Consider the following 17,740-nt stretch of genomic DNA (forward strand, 5'->3'; position numbering starts at 1 on the left):
GGTCTACACAGCATTCCCCCGTCCCAGCACTGGTCTACACAGCATTCCCCCGTCCCAGCACTGGTCTACACAGCATTCCCCCACTCCCAGCACTGGTCTACACAGCATTCCCCCACTCCCAGCACTGGTCTACACAGCATTCCCCCACTCCCAGCACTGGTCTACACAGCATTCCCCCACTCCCAGCACTGGTCTACACAGCATTCCCCCCCTCCCAGCACTGGTCTACACAGCATTCCCACACTCCCAGCACTGGTCTACACAGCATTCCCCCCTCCCAGCACCGGTCTGCACAGCATTCCCCCCCTCCCAGCACTGGTCTACACAGCATTCCCACCACCCCGTCAGGACATGGAGGGAGAGAAGGGGTGGGGTAGGGTACACACCATTTCCACCTGCTGCCTTCGGCCTTCTCCCACCCTTTCTGGCTCTCCTCCTGTGGCTTAGCTGCCTCCTGGCCATCTTTCTTCTCTCCCTCTGGACACCCCAGCATCAACTGGCTCCCCCTCCTTCCACTTCTCTCTGCTTCTGGCTGGCTTCCGGCTGCCCTGAGCTTTCTCTTCTTGGGGCTTCTTCACCAGGCCCCCCACCTCCCAGTCACCCTTTGCCCCAGGGCAATGGCGAGGCCACGCCGCTGGCTGTGGTGCCCCGTCCAGCTCACTCCCACACTGCACTTCTCTGTCTTCCTCCAGGTCCTGAGCTTTTCATTTCTTTGGTTTTCGAGTCCCCTCTTCCCCAGCTTTGTCTGTCTCCCTCTTCTTTTCTTTTCTGGAAACCAAGGCCTCCTGTCCCACTTTTGTGCCACTACCTAATTTGTCACTTTCTTCTTTCTTGGTTTTTCCCACCCACACTTCTTTTACATCCTCGTCCTCGTTCTGTGCTTGTCTCCTGGCCCGTAACTCTCCTTTCTGCTCAGTGTGGCCCTGGCTCGTCCTCCGTGCTGGGGTGGGCACCATGCCCTCACTGTGCACCTGCTCCTGGCCACGCTTCGCACCTCTTCTGTGGGAACTGCTCTGTCTATCCCACTGCCCAGAGCGCGCTCCTCCCCAGCTCCCACGGCGGCCCCTGCACTCTTCCGCTCCCCACAGCTGAGGGTCTCAGGCTTGCCCCTAGCGTCCCCGCCACCCTCTTCTCGTGCTGCCGCCCCAGTGCATCTCCCCACACGTTTGTCCTGAAGCCCTTTCTCCCCTTTCTCTTCGGATATTCTTTTTTTTTTCTCAGTTTGTGCCTCTCTTCCACACAGCCCTTGCCCCGGCCAGTGTCTGTGAGCTCACAGTCCAGGTCCTCTTCCAGAGCCCCCTTCCGGCTGGGCACCGCCTGCAGGGCCATGCCCTTCTATCTCTTCTCTTGGGTGTCAGGACCCCGGGCACATCCACCAAGGGCCATCTTCATCTTGTCTGCAGGAACCTCCGTGTGGCCTTGGGACCTTGCCCAGAACAGAGAGCACACACCATGAGAGGGGCCACAGGGCCACAAACATACCCACCCGGAGACCCCAGAGGAGGAGGGAAGGTTCACCTTCCCCACCCCAGCAATGGCTGCCCTCCATGGGCCTAACAGATGCTTTTAACTCAGCTTTGGAAAATGGCCTCTTGATCTCAGCCCTTGTGGCCTCTGTCAGGAGCAGAAACCAAGGGCAATGAACAAAGGAGCCAGGGGTCAGCTTGGGGCTGCTCCCAACTCCGGAGCAGGTGCAGGCCGCAACAGGCCATACTGCCAGCGTCCACCCTGACCCAGACACAAAACACCAGAAAGGGAAGGTCACAGAGCACTATCCCGACACCACTGCCCCATCTAGTGCTTCCTTCTTCCTTCTTCTTCCTCTTCTTCCTCCTCCTCCTCCTTCCTCTTTCTCCTCCCCCTTCTTCTTCTTCTTATTAGCGACAGAGTCTCACTCTGTTATTATTATTATTATTGAGACAGAGTCTCGCTCTGTTATTATTATTATTAGAGACAGAGTCTCGCTGTTATTATTATTATTAGAGACAGAGTCTCGCTCTGTTATTATATTAGAGACAGAGTCTCGCTGTTATTATTATTATTAGAGACAGAGTCTCGCTCTGTTATTATTATTATTAGAGTCTCGCTCTGTTATTATTATTAGAGACACAGTCTCGCTCTGTTATTATTATTATTATTAGAGACAGAGTCTCGCTCTGTTATTATTAGAGACAGTCTCGCTGTTATTATTATTATTAGAGACAGAGTCTCGCTCTATTATTATTATTATTAGAGACAGAGTCTCGCTCTGTTATTATTATTATTAGAGACAGAGTCTCGCTGTTATTATTATTATTATTAGAGACAGAGTCTCGCTGTTATTATTATTATTAGAGACAGAGTCTCGCTCTGTTATTATTATTAGAGACAGAGCCTCGCTGTTATTATTATTATTATTAGAGACAGAGTCTCGCTCTGTTATTATTATTATTATTAGAGACAGAGTCTCGCTCTGTTATTATTATTATTATTAGAGACAGAGTCTCGCTGTTATTATTATTATTATTAGAGACAGAGTCTCGCTCTGTTATTATTATTATTATTAGAGACAGAGTCTCGCTCTGTTATTATTATTATTAGAGACAGAGTCTCGCTGTTATTATTATTATTATTAGAGACAGTCTCGCTCTATTATTATTATTATTATTAGAGACAGTCTCGCTCTATTATTATTATTATTATTAGAGACAGAGTCTCGCTGTTATTATTATTATTAGAGACAGAGTCTCGCTCTGTTATTATTATTAGAGACAGAGTCTTGCTCTATTATTATTATTATTATTATTATTAGAGACAGAGTCTCGCTCTGTCACCCAGGCTGGAGTGCAGTGGCGTGATCTCGGCTCACTGCAACCTCTGCCTCCCGGGTTCAAGCGATTCTCCTGCCTCAGCCTCCCGACCACCACACCCGGCTAATTTTGTATTTTTAGTAGAGAGGGGGTTTCATCATGTTGGACAGGCTGGTCTCAAATTCCTGACCTCAGGTGACCCACCCACCTCCGCCTCCCAAAGTGCTAGGATTATAGGCATGAGCCACCACGCCTGGCCTGCTAACTTATTTCACCATAAAATCTTAGAAGAAAATCAGACACTAAGTTCATTTGTGTTGTCATATCTGCAAGAATAAGCATTCATCAGGCATGAGTGCCTGGGAAGTTGCTTATCAGAATCATGTTCACACATTCATTTCCTATTTAAGATGCCGACTTGGCCTTTTTTCTTGGGTGGCTTTTCATGGTGATTAGTCTTCACTGGCGTGGTGATCTGTGCAAATCTAGAATTCAAATGTATACATAAACATGCAGCTCTGCGGCTCATTTAGGGTTGCCATTCTAACAACAGAGAGTCAGAACAACCTCATGGAAGCCTCCCAAGCTCTTCATGACCCTTTTCTCATTTTTCAAAAGTACACCTGGCAAAGCTGCTGGTGACCCACGTGCTGGGCATCAAGGAACCTCTGACTCTGAGCACAGCACCAGCTGGCGGTGGGAAGTCCCGCCCGAGGCCAGAAGCTGCGAACACATCTCAGGCCCCTCCCGGCCTCGGGAAGAGTGGGCAGGCAGTAAAAGGCAGCTCCCAGGTCCCCTCTGGGACCATCTCTGTCCCCACCAACACCACAGCAGTTCAGAGATCATCAATTTGGAAAAACAGTCTTTCCAAAGTAACTTTTGAAGAAGAAGTGTGAGAAAATATATTCAGAAACAAAACCCACATTGAACAGAGAGAGGAACAGACACTTCGCTTAAGTGGGAATGGCACGGGGCCCACCTCGGGCTGCACGCTGGGTCAGAGGCGCCATCCCTGGGAACCCCGAGGAGGTTATGGGGGCACCAGGCACCCCGGTCTGAACGCTCCCACTCATCGGCTGACTGGCCACCCTCACCCACACCTCACACTATGGCTGCTCTCACTCCACCATCTGACCATCACAACACACGCCCACATCCATGCAGACTGGAGACACAGTGAAACACGCGTCTTGCAAGGAAAAACCTGTGAGATTTCTGAAAATCATGTTAGAGCCCTACTGAGGCAGAGGCCTGGGCCAGCCGAGAAAGGTGAGAGGAGGCCCTGTTGTAACACAGCTGGAAAGCAGGATTCATAGATGGATTTCATGTGGAATCTAGGCCCTCAAGGATGGGGCCCTCAAAGATGACACCAAGGTCTGTGCTTGAGAAGACAGAAGGAGCCGCTTCACCGAAACGAGAGGACTAGGGAGGGAAGGGCAGCAGACACCCACGGTCCTCTCAGGATGTGCTGACTGCAGAGGCCTAGAGTCCCACAGGGAAGCCGTGGGAGGCCCCCTCTGCCCCAGCCCAGCTCAGCCCTCCTGCTTGAGGAAGAAGGAGTGGCGGGACACCAGAGGGACAGGCTAGGAAGCACTCAGTAGCAGTGGCAGGAGCTCAGGAGGCTTTGGGCTGGCCCTGAGACACCACCACCCACTGGCCAGCAGCAGCTGGTCCTCCAGGTCTCCGTGACTCCCCCAGCCCCATGCCCACCCAGGATACAAAGGCAAGCCTCCCCACTCCCCAGCCACTCCCTTACTCAGTGAGGACCCAGGGCTGCTCACTGTGCCACCCGCCCGCCGCGCAGCACCATTCCCCAGCTACAGGGACAGCTGATGGTCACACAGACCCCACAGCGATCTCTGTCACTCCCAGACGCCCCCTCCCCAGTAACCCCTGTTGTGGGGGTGTAGACGGAGAGGCGCAGACACTGTCCTGTCAACAAGCCAGGCTCCATGTTGTCCGTAAGTCCAGGGCCCAGCACCTAAGGGTGATTAACTGGCAAGGACACCAAACAGCGGAGGAGGAGGGACCTCAGCTGAGCGAGATGAGCGACAGTGAACAAGGCCAGGCAGGAGACAGAATGGATGGGCGTCAAGGGAGGAGCCACCCAGCACCTGGAGAGCAGCTGTGGTCACAGGCACGAATTCATCACAGCCACAGTCATCAGCACGGGCTGCAGTCTGGGGTAGAAAAATCAGAAGGAAGGAAACGTTAAAGTTTTAAGCAATAAGAGACCCAGGGGCCGTGTTAAAAGGTAACTCATTCTCTACCTCATCCCAACTCAATGACACAATCCTGGCTCCACCTGGGCCAGCACAGGGGCTTGTAAAAGAGTATGCATGGGAGACTCCCCATAGACAGGTCCCAGTCCCCGGACACAGACACGTACCACACTGCAGGCACCAGCCAGTCCTTCCCGAGGAGCTTACCCTCACTGGGCAGAGCCACGCACTGAGGGGCAGAGCCCACAAGCCCACTGGCAGCCGAGGTCACCCCCATGCCTGACCTGGCAGAGCCCTGCAGGAGGCAGGTCCACAGGGCATCCCTGGTGGCTGAAAAGGTCTGAACCAGCACTGGGCACAGGAGCCCAGCAATGCCAGCCCGAGGCGTCTGCTGGTCTCCGGAGGACACAGTTGCAAACTCGACACAGACACAGAGAAGCAGGCTGGCCCCTCCAGCTCCTGCTGCCACGCGCGGCTGGGAGGTGTCACTCACACCCCACGTGGAACAGGGCCTCTCGGGCTATACTCCCACACCTCTGGCTGGCACTTCAGCAGAGAGTTTTTCACTGTTTTAAATTAAAATACAGATAAGGCTTGCATTAATTTAGTAGAAAAGTTTAGCGCCAACTCAGGGCTTTCATAAATTATAGAAGAATACATTACATAGTACCAGAACACAGAGAAGAGATAAAGTAATTCACACTTAAACTATACTGATGAAGTCAGTCATCAGTAAAATGGCAAAATCCAAATCATCGACACTTTTTCTAAATTGAAGTCCCACAAAGCATTTACTATTGCATTGCTTTTCAAACAAACCGTTATCTAACAACCCACTGTTAATGGGGTAGACTGTGGAGGGTCTGATTCTGCCCTATCAGCACATCCGCAGGAAACACCTGCAGAAATCATCACCAGGGAGATGCCGGGGGCAGGGGTGATGGTCGAGTGTGTGTGGACATGTCTGTATTCTGAGTGTGGCAGTGGCTTTCCAGAGGGACACTTCTGCCACAACTCATCCAATGGTCACTGTCAACGAGTACAGTTTATCACGTGTAGATAATGTGTCTGTAAAGTTCACTTCTCACAAAGTGCTCCTGTGTGACTCCAGAGCCCAGGAGAATGGGAAGCTCTTCTGGCTCTTGGCCAAGGGTTTGTTTCACCTCCAGAACAGCTCCGAAGGCAATGCCAGGCCTCCTGAAGCTCAGGAGTGAAGAGGAAATGCCAGGTTCCTAAATATGAGGCTGCTCCAAACTCCTTACAGGCAGTGCAGGAACAGAACACCCAAAGGGGTTATCTTCATAGAGCACTTTTACCACCCAACTAATGGGATATTGAGACACCCAGAAACTTAGTTCTTGGACCAGGCATTGCCCCTCAAATTTGCTTTCCCTTGCCAAGATCTCACAAAATGATTTTTTAAAAAAAGATATATTTTAAACAAACAAAGCAGCACAAGAGAATAAGAAAGGGGGCTGTGCTGGGTATAGCAGCATGCTTGTAGTCCCAGCTACTCGGGAGGCTGACATGGGAGGATCACTAGAGCCCGGGAACTGGAAGCCAGCCTGGGCAACACAGCAAGACCTCATCTTAAAAAAGAGAAAAAGAGAAGGAAGGGGGATGTATTTTAGTCCATTTTCTGCTGCTGTAACAAATAGCACAGACTGGGCAATTTATAAAGAACACAAATTTATCTGGCTCACCAGAGGCTGGGAAGGCCAAAATCAAGAAGCTGCATCTGGCAAGGACCTTCTTGCTGCATTACCCCAGGGGCAGAAGATGAACTAGCGCACAGGTCAGAGGGAGGACACTAAGCAAAATCACGATTTTGATCAGGAACCAACTCCCATGGTAAGAAATCTACTCTCAAGATAACAACATTGTCCACTTATGAGGGTAGAGCCAAATCACTTTTCAAAAGCCTCACTTCTTTATTTATTTATTTATTTATTTATTTATTTATTTATTTATTTATTTTGAGAGATGGAGTCTCACTCTGTGGACAGGCTGGAGTGCAGTGGTGTGATCTTGGCTCACTGCAACCTCCGCCTCCCAGGTTCAAGCGATTCTCCTGCCTCAGTCTCCCAAGCAGCTGGGATTACAGGCATACGCCACCACACCCGGCTAATTTTTGTTTTGTTTTGTTTTTGAGATGGAGTCTCACTCTGTCGCCCAGGCTGGGGTGCAGTGGCGCGATCTCTGCTCACTGCAAGTTCTGCCTCCTGGGTTCACGCCGTTCTACTGCCTCAGCCTCCCAAGTAGCTGGGACTACAGGTGCCCGCCACCATGCCCAACAAACTTTTTTGTATTTTTAGTAGAGACAGGGTTTCACCATGTTAGCCAGGATGGTCTTGATCTCCTGACCTCGTGATCCGCCCGCCTTGGCCTCCCAGAGTGCTGGGATTACAGGCATGAGCCACCGCACCCAGCTAATTTTTGTATTTTTTAGTAGAGACGGGGTTTCACTATATGTTGGCCAGGCTGGTCTTGAACTCCTGACCTCAAGTGATCCACCTGCCTCGGCCTCCCAAAGTGCTAGAATTATAGGCGTGCCTGGCCAGGCCTCACCTCTTAAAAGTAGTTACTATTTAGTATTAAGTATTACAAATGGCAACTAAATTGCAACCTGAGTTTTAGAAGGAACATTGAAACCACAGCAGGCAGGCAGCCAGCCAGCCAGCCAGCCAGCCAGCCAGCCAGCCAGCCAGCGGGGAAGAGTTGAAACAATCCAGGAACTTTATAAAGCACAATGGGAGAGAGGGCAGAGCCACCCTCAGTCCAAGGTGGGCTGTGCGGGACCACCGCTTTGAGCCCCACAGCAGGCCAGGCCTCGAAGCTCAGGCACCGAGGTGAGGACGGGTACCTGGAGCTCAGCAGGCTCCTCTGTGACGCAGCTGTAGCAGCCAGGGGTCTCCCCACGCTGAGGAGGGTGAGGAGGGGTGGCTGCCATGGAGGGTGCCCAGGAGATGTGGGGCCTGACCAGGGCCTCCACATCCCACAGCAGCCTTGCAAGCCAGAGGGGACCTCCACCCAGGGCCTCCTTCTGTGCTAAGAGTGGAGTTCCTGGAGTTGGAAAGTCCTGCCGCCTAAGCCCTACCACCCTGGAGAGGCCCCACTCAGGACAAAGCCCACTGGTAAACCCAGGCCCGCCCCATCCAGAGATACTCCCACCAGCTCCCTGCTCCAAAGTCCCTCAGTCATTGTCACAAATAGTGAGCAGCAGACATGTGAGAAAATCACAAGAAAATGTCCACACAGAGGACAGCACAAGGGGTGGTAAGACCATGAGACCACCTGGGGCAACAAGAGAATTGATAGAAAACCCAGTCACGGCTTTGAAAGGGCCCAGGACTTCATGCCCTGAGCCGCAGCTACGGCTCAAGACTCCATGTGACCCTGTGGCCCTTCTGTCCCACACTCACCTGACAGACACCCCCCACCGACCTCCCCCACAAGCCCAGCTGTGTAGCCTGTTAATCCTGCCATGTAAAGGGGTGCCCTGCAGGGGTGTGGCAGGAGGGTCCTAAGAAGACCAGCATATTTCATCCTGTGTCACTCTTGTACTCACTGAGAGCTGGGGGGTGGGGGGGGGTGGGGGCCCTCCAGGTGGGCCTGATCTAGCCCCATGCGCCGCTGAAAAGCAGTTTCCTCCAGGTGGTGACAGGGAGAGTCAGAGACTGGATTCAGGTGCCTCTGCAGGCTGTGAGGATGAAGGGCCAAATGGAGGGGCATGGAGAATGGACGCCAGCTGACAGCCAGCCAGAAAACGGCCCTTGGTCCCACAGCTACAGGGACTGACCCAACTCCCAGGAGCCTGGTGCCCTGAGGCAGGAGCCCAGCCCGGCCAGCGTACCCCGACTCAGCACACCCCAACTCACCCTAAGCTGAGAATCCTGCCAAACCCACTTGAGCATCTGACCTACAGAACTGTGAGCTATGACCAGGCATTGCTTATTGCCTGCACAGAATGCTCGTAGCTGGCTTAGAGGGCAGAACCGCGGTCTCCAGGGCAGCAGCCAAATCACCTGAGGATCCTCTCCTCAGGAGGCAGGTTCTCAGCTCCTCACCACAAAACTACCCACCAGAGACCAACAGGCGGGCCATGAGCCTCTTCTGTTTAATGTTTCATTAGAGAAAATCTCAAGCACACACAAACAGAGAGAGAACGGCTTATGAAAACTCATTATACAAATTGAGCTTTTCCTACCACACCCAACCAAATCAGAGTCGAGGGACCCAGGAAAAGCTCTCAGGCACACGGCACCTGCTCCCAGAGCCCCCCTCCCACCCCCCTGCCCCCTGCAAGTCTAGCTGCTGAAATGACCTGCTGCAACCTTACAACCGGGTGTACCTAATGGCTGTTGGAACAACCTACCTGACCCAAAGACTAGGTTTACCTACTGTGTCTTTCACCAATCTGAGCTTGCCAGCTCCCCAAAACTTCATTAGTGCCAATGTGTTTTCTTTCAAAACAATAGGTAACATTTCTCTTTCCAATAAACCCCCCAGCATGCTCTTCGTTCTTGGGACCAAAGACCACTCTGGTCTGTGTGTATGCCTGAATTGCAATTCTGTTTTTCCCAATAAAACATTTTGTTTAGAGATTCATCTGTACACTTTTTTTTTTTTTCTGTTGAGACAGAGTCTTGCTCTGTCACCCAGGTTGGAGTGCAGTGGCATGATTTCGGCTCACTGCAACCTCTGCCTCGTGGGTTCAAGTAATTCTTCTGCCTCAGCCTCCCGAGTAGCTGGAACTACAGGCACTCACCACCACGCCCAGATAATTTTTGTATTTTTAGTAGAAACAGGGTTTCGCCATGTTGGCCAGGCTGGTCTCGAACTCCTGACCTCAATTGATCTGCCCACCTCAGCCTCCTAAAGTGCTGGGATTACAGGCACGAGCCACCGTGCTGGGCCTCATCTGTGTATTTTCATTTGAGTCTGACAAGTATTAATACACTCCCACAACCCCATTACACCAATTCAAAACTTATCAGCTCACATCCCATCTCCTTCCATTGAGTGCCCACCCTCTTCTCTCCCCACTGGGTTATTCTGAAGCAACTCCAAGACAGCACATCGTTTCACCCACAAACATCTCCAATTATGTCCAAAGATGCAAACTCTTCCGTTAAAGACCACAACCACGTGCCCACTTCGGCAGCACATACGCTAAAAGTGGAACAATACAGAGAAGATTCTCATGGCCGCTGTGCAAGAATGACAGGCAAATTCATCACGCTCTCCACAAAAACAATTAAAGAACACAACCACTATACACCATCACTCTTTCTTTCTTTTCACTTTTCTTTTCTTTTATTATTTTAAGACTGAGTCTCGTTCTGTCATGCAGGTTGGAGTTCAGTGGCACGGTCTCAGCTCACTGCAACCTCCATCTCCCGGGTTCAAGTGATTCTCCTGCCTCAGCCTCCTGAGTAGCTGGGATTACAGGCGCCTGCCACCATGCCTGGCTAATTTTTGTATTTTTAGTAGAGACGGGGTTTCGCCATGTTGGCCAGGCTGGCCTCGAACTCCTGACCTCAAGTGATCCTCCTGCCTAGGCCTCCCAAAGTGCTGGGATTACAGGCGTGAGCCACAGCACCCAGCCCACTATCACACTTCAAAAAACAAATTCCTTATTATCGAATATCCACGGAGTGCTCAAATTCCCTAATTGTCTCATCATTTAAAAAATCTTTCTGTAAATCAGAATTGAAACAAAGTCCAATGCATCTGAACAGACTTTTTGGTTCTCTTTTTATTTTTACTGCAATCTACTTCAATTTAAATTTTTAGAAAACTTCCTATTTTGGAAAATTTCAAGCACATGCAGAATTATAAGCACTCCCCACCGACAGAGACTGTCCTCGACCACACTTGAGTCTGGCTCCTGGGTCCTCCTCTTCGACCAGGCCCTGACCTTGGCTTAGTCCTTGACCTACTTAGTCCAGTTTCAGCAAGACTCCCGCTGGTCGCTTCAGTGAAAACGCCCACCTTGGTATCTGATCGCCTTCATCATCGGGTCAAATTCCTCCTCCCTCAGCCTCTACAGCTCATCACCCTGGCCTGCCTTCAGCAAGAACCCCTACCCCCGATGTCTCCTCATGGTAACTTTCCAACTCTGCTTCTTGGCTGTACATCCCCACATCTTTGTTGTATTTGGAGTTGAGCTCAATCTCTCTCCCCTACTGCAAAACCCCATTACAGCGGCCTCTCCTGGAAAATCTGCCTTACCATCTTCAACAAGTGTCATAAAAACATTTTCTTGGCCAGGTGCGGTGGCTCAGGCCTGTAATCCCAGCACTTTGGGAGGCCAAGGTGGGTGGATCACCTGAGGTCAGGAGTTCAAGACCAGCCCAGCCAACATGGCGAAACCCTGTCTCTACTAAAAATACAAAAATTAGCCTGGCAAGAGTGACGCATGCCTGTAATCCCAGCTACTTGGGAGGCTGAGGCAAAGGCAGGAGAATCACTTGAGCCTGGAAGGCGGAGCTTGTGGTGAGCCAAGATCATGCCACCGCACTCCAGTCTGGGGGACAGAGTGAGACCCAGTCTCAAAAAAAAAAAAAGAAAAAAAGAAAAGGAAAGTAAAACAATTCCATTTACAATAGCATCAAAAAAGTAAAATACTGAGCAATAAATTTAACAAGAGATATAAAGCTTATACTCTGAAAACTGTAAAACATTGCCAGAAGAAATTAAAGACACCCTAAATAAATGAACAGCTATCCTGTGTTCATGGACTAGATGACTTCATATGGTTAAGACAGCAATACTCGGCCAGGTGTAGTGGCTCATGCCTGTAATCCCAGCACTTCGGGAGGCCGAGGCGGGTGGATCACCTGAGGTCAGGAGTTCGAGACCAGCCTGACCAACATGGAGAAACCCCCTCTCTATTAAAAATACAAAATTAGCTGAGTGTGGTGGCACATGCTGTAATCCCAGCTACTCAGGAGGCTGAGGCAGGAGAATCGCTTGAACCTGGGAGGTGGAGGTTGTGGTGAGCCAAGATTGTGCCATTGCACTGCAGCCTGGGCAACAAGAGTGAAACTCTGTCTCAAAATATATAAAAGACAACAATACTCTCCAAACGGATCAAAAAACTCAATGCAATCCCCATCAAAATTCCAGCTAGTGTTTTTGCAGAAATTGACAACCTGATCCTAAAATTCACAAGGAAACACAAAGGACCCAGATTGTTTGACCCAGGGTCAAACAGTCTTTTAAAAAGAAGAACAAATTAGAGGATTCATACTTCCTGATTTCAAAACTTCAGGGCTACAGTGATGAAGACAGCGGGGCACTGTCAGAAGGACACGCAGAGACCGGTGGGTTCACTCAGAGTCCGGAAATAAACCCACATGCCTGTGGGCAACTGATTTCAACAAGGATGTCAGACCACTCAATGGGGAAAGAACAGTCTTTTCAACAAGGGGTGCGGACTGTCCACATGCATAGAATGAAGTTAGGCCTCTTCCTCACATCAAATGCAAATGTTAACTCAAAGTGGATCAAAGACCTAAATGTAAGAGCCAAAGCTATAAAACTCTTAGAAAAAAACATAGGTATAAATCTTTATGACCCTGAATTAGATCATGGTTTTTGGGTTGGTTGGTTGGTCTAGGCCAGGTCTCACTCTGTCACACAGGCTGCAGTAAAGTGGCACAATCATAGTTCACTGCAGCCTTGAACTCCCAGGCTCCAGCAATCCTTCCACCTCAGCTTACCATAGCTGGGACTACATGTGCTCACCACAATGTCCAGCTGATTTTTAAATTTTTCGTCAAGTCACAGCCTCACTTCAAAGCCAAGCCTGGTCTCAATCTCCTGGCCTCAAGTGATCCTCCTGCCTCAGCCTCCCAAAGTGCTGGGATCATAGGCAGATAATGGTTTTTAAAAACACACACAGGCAAAGCACAAACAATCAAAGATAAAACACATAAATTGAACTCAGGTAAAAGAGATCAACTGAAAACTTTTGTGCTTCAAAAGACACCATCAAGAAAGCAAAAAGACAATCCACAGATAGGGGTCTAGTATCTGGAATATACAAAACACTCTTACAACTCAACGATAAAAAACAAATAATCCAATTAAAACCAGGTAAAGGGCCAGGCGGGGTGGCTCACACCTGTAATCCCAGCACTTTGAGAAGCCAAAGTGGGAGGATCACTTGAGCCCACAAGTTTGAGACCAGCCTAGGCAAAATGGGGAGACCCCATCTCTACCAAAAATTTAAAAAATTAGCTGGGCGTGGTGACGCACACCTGTATTCCCAGCTACTCAGGAGGCTGAAGTGGGAGGGTGGCTTGAGCCCAGGAGTTCAAGGCTGCAGTGAGCTATGACGGTGTCACTGCACTCCAGCCTGGGCAACAAAGTGAGACCCTGTCTCTTTAAAAAAAAAAAAAAAGGTAAAGATTGTAAATAAACATTTCTTCAAAGATGAGATACAAATGGCCGATAAACACATGAAAAGATGCTTGGTATCACTAATCACTAGGGAAATGCAAATCAAATCTACAGTGAGTTACACTGAGTTACCACTTTACATCAACCAGAATGGCCATAATGAAAAAGACAGAAAATAAGTGTTGGCAAGAATGTGTAAAAACTGGATTCCTTGTACAATGCTGGTGGGAATGTAAAACGGTAATGCTGCTTTAAATAAGTTTATTGGGGCCGGACATGGTGGCTCATGCCTGAACCAACACTTTGGGATCACTTGAGGTCAGGAGTTTGAGACCAGCCTGGCCAACATGGTGAAACCCCGTCTCTACTAAAAATACAAAAATTAGCCAGGCGTGGTGGCGGGTGCCTGTAATCCCAGCTACTCGGGAGGCTGAGGCAGGAGGATCGCTTGAATCCAGGAGGCAGAGGTTGCAGTGAGCCGAGATCGCGCCACTGCACTCCAGCCTGGGCGACAAAGAGAGACTCCATCCCAAAAAAAAAAAAAAAAAAAAAAAAAAGTCTGTTGGTTCTTCAGTAAATTCAACATGAAATTACCACAGGAGCCAGAAATTCCACTTCTAGCTACATACCCGAAAGCACTGCAAAGAGGTATTCAGACAAACACTTATAAAGAAATACTTGTAGCCTCATTATTCACAATAGCCCTACGGTACAAACAACCCAAATGTACATCAGCAGACGAACGGATCAACGAATCCCAGATATACACGCAGCAGGGTGTTTTCGGCTGTGAAAGGGAATGAAGTGTTAACCCAGCACAGTGTGGATGGATCTTGAAAACACCTGACATGAAAGAAGCCAGGCACAAAAGGAAAAATACTGCAGGATTCTGTTTACAGGAAATATCCAGAATAAGCAAATCCATGGAAATAGAAAGTAGATTAGTGGTTGCCAGGGGCTGGGGGAATGGAGAATGGGAACATTAAAAGAAAAACGTTAGCCGGGCGTGGTGGCTCACGCCTGTAATCCCAGCACTATGGGAGGCTGAGGCAGGCGGATTACCTGAGGTCGGGAGTTTGAGACCAGCCTGACCAACATGGAGAAACCCCGTCTCTACTAAAAATACAAAATTAGCCAGGCGTGGTGGTGCATGCCTGTAATTCCAGCTACTAGGGAGGCTGAGGCAGGAGAATCGCTTGAACCTGGGAGGCGGAGGTTGCGGTGAGCCGAGATAGTGCCATTGCACTCCAGCCTGGGCAGCAAGAGTGAAACTCCATTTCAAAAAAAAAAAAAGAAAAACTTTAGATAAATTAAATTTAACAAAGTTTAACTGAGCAAAGAGTCATCTGAGAATTGGGCAGCTCCCAGAACCAGAACAGGTCCAGAGCAAGTCCGGGGCTGCTGCATGGTCAGACCACACTTAAGGACAGGAAAAAAAAGGGACAAAAAGTGAAAAAGACAAAAACAGAACAAAAAGAAAAGAAAAAAAGGAAAGTGACGGACAGAAAACAGTCACGCAATTTTGTGAAGTTGCAGCAACATTTAACGCTTGGGATATTTCACCATAAAAGTCTCCATTTCTGGCTTCATTTGAACAGATTCAGCAGCCTGGGAGGTGTGGCCCGTGCACCGCCTGCCTACTTAGAATTACATTCCCAGCTCACAGCCGGGATGGCAGGAGAGTGCGGAAGCGGCACATGGCAGACACAACCGGGGATGACCCAGCTCCTCACCAGAGGGCAGGTACCGGAAACCAGCAAACACGATTTGACAGGACGCAGAGCAAACACCGCATTAAACAGCTCCTGCGTTCCAAGGCCAGGTGCTTAGTTCATCTATGGAAACCTTACTTAAAACGACACAATTAGCTCAAACGGACTCATCCTACCTTAGATTCTACTCGCCGCGAATGGATGCATGCAGCCTGCCATCAAGCCACGGAGGTACCACATTTCTCAAAAGCAAAAGCTAACCGTTTTTCCATCGGGCTCTTTTCTTTGTTCTGCGGGACACAGAAAGCTATTTACATGATTATCTGACACAAGAAAGCAGGAGAGAAGAGAGCAGAGGGAGAGAAAGGTGAGTGAGGACTGCAGGCCTAATGCCTTTCAACTTTTTTTTGGTTCTAATCTTTGAAAAAGATGTGGTCACACTGGTTGTTAACCACAGTAACAATCTGACAAGATGATTTATCTAAAACAAAAACAAACAGAAAGGGCCCCTGGCACATGAGGGAGATGCCAGACCCCCTTGTTACATCTGGGCCCCCGACACGAATGTGCAAGAGCCGGACCTCTGCACCTGTCAGAGGCGGCTCGCATTACGAACCTGCTCCACAGTCCTGTGGATTCCTAACTCCGCTCAAGCGGAAACAAAGACTGGAAAAAGAACACGAGGCAGGTCCCAATTCCACTGCAAAGGCCAGGCTCTCAGGACGAAAGCTGATCTCACCCTGTGCCCTCGCTCCCCCCATTCCCTCACTGCCCCATTTCACCTCACTCTTAGAAGAGGGATAAAGGGAACAAACCTTACCCAACAGTAAGATTGTCCCGCCCTGGATTTTCTTTTGAAACGGAGAATTTATTTTCTTCCCTCAAGCACTGCTATAAGTCACAAGAGAACAGGGTTACGTTGAGGACATTTCCATGTCATAATAAACAGAACTTCTGTGAAAACACTAGGATGAACCCCACCACAGCATCCTGCATGTGGCCAGCGGGCAGACAGACACAACTCTGAGAATGGGGCCGGCCAGGCCCAGGCCACTCACTCCCCGGCCCACGGCTGCTTGCCATTACAGTTCAACCAAAGCCTGGCAGCAGCCGTCAAAGGATTCCAGGTAACCAGTAACCAACCCTCCCAGGATGGACAAGCGTGCAGTCCCCACACCTAACTCCAGCTCCTTCTACACCCTACACACGACCCAGGCAGCATGCTGGCAGCAGATCCAACCCTTCTGAAATTTGACATAAATGCACCTTGTGTGAACACAAAGTACATATTTTTAAATTTATCTAAGTAAATGATCAAAAAAGCTTTTTATACTTGTAAAATACTCATTTCAAAAAGGTTCATCCAGGTGCAGTGGCTCACGCCTGTAATCCCAGCACTACGGGAGGCTGAGGCGGGCGGATCACAAGGTCAGGAGTTTGAGACCAGCCTGGCCAACATAGTGAAACCCCGTCTCTACTAAAAATACTAAAATTAGCCAGTCATGGTGGTATGCACCTGTAGTCCCAGCTACTCAGGAGGCTGAGGCAGGAGAATAGATTGAACCCAGGAGGCAGAAGTTGTGGTGAGCTGAGATCGCGCCACTGAACTCCAGCCTGGGCAACAGAGTGAGACTCTGTCTCAAAAAAAAAAAAAAAAAAAAAAAAAAGACCACATGCAGTGGCTCACGCCTGTAATCCCAGCACTTTGGGAGGCCGAGGAGGGTGGATCACAAGGTCAGGAGATCAAGACCATCCTGGCTAACACAGTGAAACTCCATCTCTACTAAAAAATAGAAAAAATTAGATGGGTGTGGTGGCGGGCGCCTTTAGTCCTAGCTACTCGGGAGGCTGAGGCAGGAGAATGGTATGAACCCGAGAGGCAGAGCTTGCAGTGAGCCAAGATAGTGCCACTGCACTCCAGCCTGGGCGACAGAGTGAGACTCCATCTCAAAAAAAAAAAAAAAAAGCTTCATGAGGCTGAGCACAGTGGCTTACACTTGTAATCCCAGTACTTTGGGAGGCTGAGGCAGGAGGATCTCTTGAGCCTAGGCGTTCTAGACTAGGCTGGGCAACATAGGGAGATAGGGAGATCCCATCTCTACAAAAATTAAAAAGAAGAATTAGCCAGCACAATAGTGCACACCAGTAGTCCAGCTACTCAGGAGGCTGAGGTGGGAGGATCACTTGGGCCCAAGAGGTTGAGGCTGCAGTTAGCTATGATCACCACTGCACTCCTGGGCGACAGAGTGAGACCTTGTCTCAAAAAAAAAAAAAAAAGTTCGAGAGTAAAAACAAAAATTAAGAATACAACATATTGAACATGTTGAAGATTGTGAGTTTAAAAATGAAACATTAAGGCCAGGTGTGGTGATTCACATCTGTAATCCCAGCACTTTGGGAGGCTGAGGCAGGGACTGCTTGGGGCAAGGAGTCCAAGATCAGTCAGAGCAACATAGTCAGGCCTTGTTTCTACAAAAATAAAAATAAAAACATTAGGCCAAGTGCGGTGGCTCACGCCTGTAATCCCAGCACTTTAGGAGGCTGAAGCAGGCGGATCACCTGAGGTCAGGAGTTCTAGACCAGCCTGGCCAACATGGTGAAATCACGT

At 49.5% G+C, this 17,740-nt stretch overlaps 1 protein-coding gene and 1 pseudogene across 8 annotated transcripts in view; one reads left to right on the forward strand and one right to left on the reverse strand.

Annotated features, from left to right (window-relative positions):
* The window catches only part of TOP1MT (DNA topoisomerase I mitochondrial), a 50,654-nt gene that overhangs the window by 30,689 nt on the left and 2,225 nt on the right, over window positions 1-17,740 (reverse strand). The window contains exon 2 of one of the 8 annotated variants that reach the window (XM_047421339.1): window positions 4,904-4,969. The exons of the other annotated variants lie outside the window; for them this stretch is intronic. The gene's annotated coding sequence lies outside the window, so the exon portion shown is untranslated. The remainder of the gene's footprint in view (window positions 1-4,903; window positions 4,970-17,740) is intronic. 8 annotated transcript variants of the gene reach the window in all.
* Window positions 10,160-10,266, forward strand: RNU6-220P (RNA, U6 small nuclear 220, pseudogene; annotated as a pseudogene).

The sequence above is a fragment of the Homo sapiens genome, chromosome 8, assembly GCF_000001405.40.
Source record: "Homo sapiens chromosome 8, GRCh38.p14 Primary Assembly".
In the NCBI taxonomy this organism is placed as follows: Eukaryota; Metazoa; Chordata; class Mammalia; order Primates; family Hominidae; genus Homo; species Homo sapiens.